Here is a 4,222-nt window from a genome sequence, read left to right as displayed (position 1 = left end):
TTTTGATCGTGCAAAGGGCCACATGGATTCATACTCCCAGAGTAGTGTGGCAGTGCGGCCCCCAGCCAGCGTCATGCATGGGTGACCTTCATCAGATCAGGGCTTGTGAATTGACATCTATGCAGTCAAATGTACTGACTTTGGTTATCTGATTACTTCACGTTATGCTTATAAAAATTGTTTGATATTTTTAGATTTCAAAATGGTTACTTTTTATGTAATGATTCTATCCTCTTGAATTAGTTACAAATAATTCACCTTTGTGGAACAAAAGACCCAACTTGGAGCATCTTAAATATGTGGAGACTTTTTTTCCCCAAGTAATAGGAAGTCAAGAGATAGACAGTTGGTGGCACTGCTTCAGTCTTCGCTGTGAGGAGACGGATCTTACGGTCACTTTTATGAGCTGGGCTACGTTCTCATGGAGCATTGAGACCCACAGAGTCATGAGAATCAGCGGCCGCCCGAGCCCTCCTCGCCCATTGTGGTTCCTGGAGCCGTCCTCGTAGGATGTGTGTGTGAGGACGTCCTGCCCCACTCTGTTCTTTTAGGTGGTCAGAGAATTTAAGAGAAAAACAGGAAGCTGTTGTTTCTCATGAGATGAAGCCTGTGTGATCCACTAACAATTATATTTCATCTCTATTTTATTTTCTGAAAATTCCTGTTAAACTCAGATAGTAGCTTATCTGACAATTTCAGTTTCCCAGGGGGTGAGTACTGTGTTTTTTTCTCTGTGCCCTCACGTTCGGAGGGATGGGCCATGGCTGGGAGTGGTGCCCGCTTAGGGCCCTTTTGCGGCACCCCTCCCACTCCTGCCTGCAGGGTCACGTCCCCCTGGAGCGGGCACGGTCCTGTGTGCATCTCGTCACCCCGCAGGCTGCAGGATCCTGAGCCCAGGATGCAAGTGAGTCTTATTTCTTCCCCTACATGGTCCAGACAAGAGCCTGGGCTCTGGATCTTTGTATTTAAGTGTGTGGCCAGGGAAACACACAAACCAGGCTGTGATAACCAGACTTCCTCTCTCCAGTGAAAAAAAAAAGCAAAAAATACAACAATTAAAACTAAAATGCATGGCTTGATTATTGAGTCTTCTTTCATCATGGAATTCATTGCTCCTATAGATCATCCAGTGTGCAATAAAGGAACTCACTACACACACAAAAATGAAACAAAATGTTCTCTTGTCCACTAGTTTGATCTGGTTATTATAGCAGCTCTACTTCAAATTTTAAAAAATAGAAATTGGGGGACAGCGATGCTTCCGTGTGCCCTTCGAGCTCACGCTCAGCGCGGCTGTGGCTTCCTGTTTACCAGCGCTTGCCTGGACCATCCATTTGCCGTCTCTGCCACCAGCCCACGTCCCGTTCATAAAAGAGATTTCTGTTTACCGCCTGCTATTTAGAGTTCTTCCATCAAAGTTCGATTTGCAGTGTTTTACTCTATTATGCTGTCCTTCTCCTTTCCACCAGCTGTTTTCCCTGACTCAGTGGCGTTCAGATGAGCATGGCTCACCCATGCCCACGTCTTCCTGTCCACCGTTACTGGTGGCTGCTGACCTTGCTCTGCTGTGCCCCTGGCAGGCCCTCCTCAGTGGGGTGGAGGCCCTGCAAACCGGGGCAGGGCTGGAGCCACTGACTAAAGGGCGGCAGGGAGCCGGCAGGTCTGACCCATGCAGTGCTGCTTTCTGCCCAAGAGCACCTGTGTGGCTCAGTTATTTTCCTGTCTTTACCGGCACCTGGCACAACACTTTCTACACCCTTTGCTGAATAGAATTAAAATCCAAATGTAATCTTAGATGATTAGGAGACATGTCTTGCCTAGAGGATGAGTGAATATAGCCCAGTCTATTAGTCTGTTCTCACATTGCTTTAAAAAACAAATGCCGGTGACTGGGTAATTTAAAGAACAGAGTTTTTATTGACTCATAGTTCCACAGGCTGTACAGGAAGCATGGCGGCTTCTGCTTCTGGGGAGGCCTCAGCGAGCTTCCAATCATGGCAGAAGGCGAAGTGGGAGCCGACTTGCCTTTTACGGCTGGAGCAGGAGGAAGAGCAAGAAGGGAGGTGCCACGCACTTTTCAAAACCAGATCTCTTGGGGACTCACTCACTTTACAGCACCAAGGCAGGTGGTGCTAAAGCATTCATGAGAACTCCACCCCCATGGCCCCACCACCTCCCACCAGGCCTCAACAGTAGGGACTACGATTCAACGTGAGATTTGGGTGGGGACACAGATCCAAACCATGTCACCCAGTAACTTCCCTCTGTCCACTAATGCTTCACAGAAATGATTAGCACGGGCCACAGGAGAAAGGCCACATGTGAAAGGAGACATGGCGTGACACTGCATGAACCTTCCTGACATTTCTCTAGACACAGTGGAGATGGAACCAAACCAAAGAGACTAACTCACTGTTCTGATTCCTGCAGTGTCTCTACACCCCTAGTCAGTCAGTGGAAGGACCCGGGCGGGAGGGTTGTCCAAACCCACAGGCTGGGGCTGGGCATGGCTGAGGGGCACGGGCGACCCCGCTGCTTTCCTTTCCACAATGGGTTTGCAGGCTCTGGAAGCAGAGGCACCAAAAAGGTGGCAAAATGCTGAACAAAGCACTGGGACGGAGGGGGCTTGTCCCAGACCTGGCAGGACATGTGGGCAGGCTGGGCCCAAGTGAGGCAGTTTTTCAGGCACTGGACCCAAGCCCAGTACTCACCAGAGAGAGAAGAAAAGGGGCCCGGAGGAGAGTCACCCCAGCCCCTCAGTCTCCTGGTTCACCGAACAAAGAACATGCATTTGCAGGTGAAGCCATCGTTGCTTATTTTTTCTCTTGATTTGAAATGTAGGGATATATGCCTACCTCTGTAATCTCTGATGGAGGCCATAACTTGATTAGAAGTCAATATACAACACAGACTTCCCTCTCTGTAAGGCTGAGCAAGGAAGAAAAATAGCAGAATATGTAATCACATATATTTAACACAGATTCACAAGTTAAATTAGTCATATGTTGTGGCAATGGACACTTAATTCAATAACTAAACAGAAAACAAAACTAAACAATCCTCCAAGACTTAGAAAACGAGCATGAAAAGTTTCTAAAGATGGGAAGTGTGGAAGACGGACAGACCGGGCAGATTTAATCCATAAATCACAAAACCCACAGGTGGAGGGCACAGCCCCCAGGCAGAGGCAATGCCCAAAGACAGCAGAAGACAGCATTCTCTATCACTTTGTCTGTGAGGCATAAACATTTGCCACTTAATCACTGGGTCATCTCCTTGTGGTTTAAATTCACATGTTACTGATTGTTAGTGAGGCTGGAATCTTTTCATGAATGTACTAGCTATTCATTTTTCTCTTCTATAACTTGCCTAATCTTTTGCCCAGTTTTCTATTATGTGTGTTGTATTTTCTTTAAATTGTGACAGTTCATCTATTCTGTATTTTGGGTGGATTAAAGATCTAATATAAAAAGTAAATTTTCAAAATATTTAGGGGGAAAATGATGAGTATCTTCATTAAAAACTAAAATAACATAGTATCTTAAATAATTTATAGAAGCATAAATGTTAAAGTATGCCAATCAATTCAGCTACATACAAATTTATAACTTTTATTTACTAACGAATACCATGAAATGGAAGAACACAGCCTCGTAGAAGACAACTGCGGCTCCCTAAATACCTTCAAAATGAGCACCTGAAGCAAAATGACTGGGAACATGAAAAAGACAATCTCTGGTGGCTGTGCCAGCAGAGCCCCCTGCGTGCCAGCGGAGCCCCCTGCGTGCCTGCGGAACCCCCTGCGTGCCTGCGGAGCCCCCTGCGTGCCAGCGGAGCCCCCTGCGTGCCAGCGGAGCCCCCTGCGTGCCTGCGGAGCCCCCGGCGTGCCAGCGGAACCCCCTGCGTGCCTGCGGAGCCCCCTGCGTGCCAGCGGAGCCCCCGGCGTGCCTGCGGAGCCCCCGGCGTGCCAGCGGAACCCCCTGCGTGCCAGCGGAGCCCCCGGCGTGCCTGCGGAGCCCCCGGCGTGCCTGCGGAGCCCCCTGCGTGCCACCGGAGCCCCCTGCGTGCCTGCGGAACCCCCTGCGTGCCAGCGGAACCCCCGGCGTGCCAGCGGAACCCCCCGGCGTGCCTGCGGAGCCCCCTGCGTGCCTGCGGAACCCCCGGCGTGCCAGCGGAACCCCCTGCGTGCCAGCGGAGCCCCCGGCGTGCCTGCGGAGCCCCC

The 4,222-nt window shown here is 49.9% G+C and overlaps 1 long non-coding RNA gene across 1 annotated transcript; it reads right to left on the bottom strand.

The window, feature by feature from the left end:
• Positions 1 to 1,894: 1,894 nt before the first annotated feature.
• LOC124907599 (uncharacterized) lies at positions 1,895 to 2,928 on the bottom strand. The gene is made up of 2 exons (XR_007086058.1): positions 2,414 to 2,928; positions 1,895 to 2,034 (listed from the first exon to the last, which is right to left on the bottom strand). It is a non-coding gene; the product is annotated as an uncharacterized LOC124907599 (long non-coding RNA).
• Between the last annotated feature and the right edge of the window lie 1,294 nt (positions 2,929 to 4,222).

Source organism: Homo sapiens, chromosome 2, assembly GCF_000001405.40.
Source record: "Homo sapiens chromosome 2, GRCh38.p14 Primary Assembly".
Classification (NCBI taxonomy): domain Eukaryota; kingdom Metazoa; phylum Chordata; class Mammalia; order Primates; family Hominidae; genus Homo; species Homo sapiens.
The sequence above is the reverse complement of the archived record's forward strand: the minus strand, read 5'-3'. Positions and strand labels throughout refer to the sequence as shown.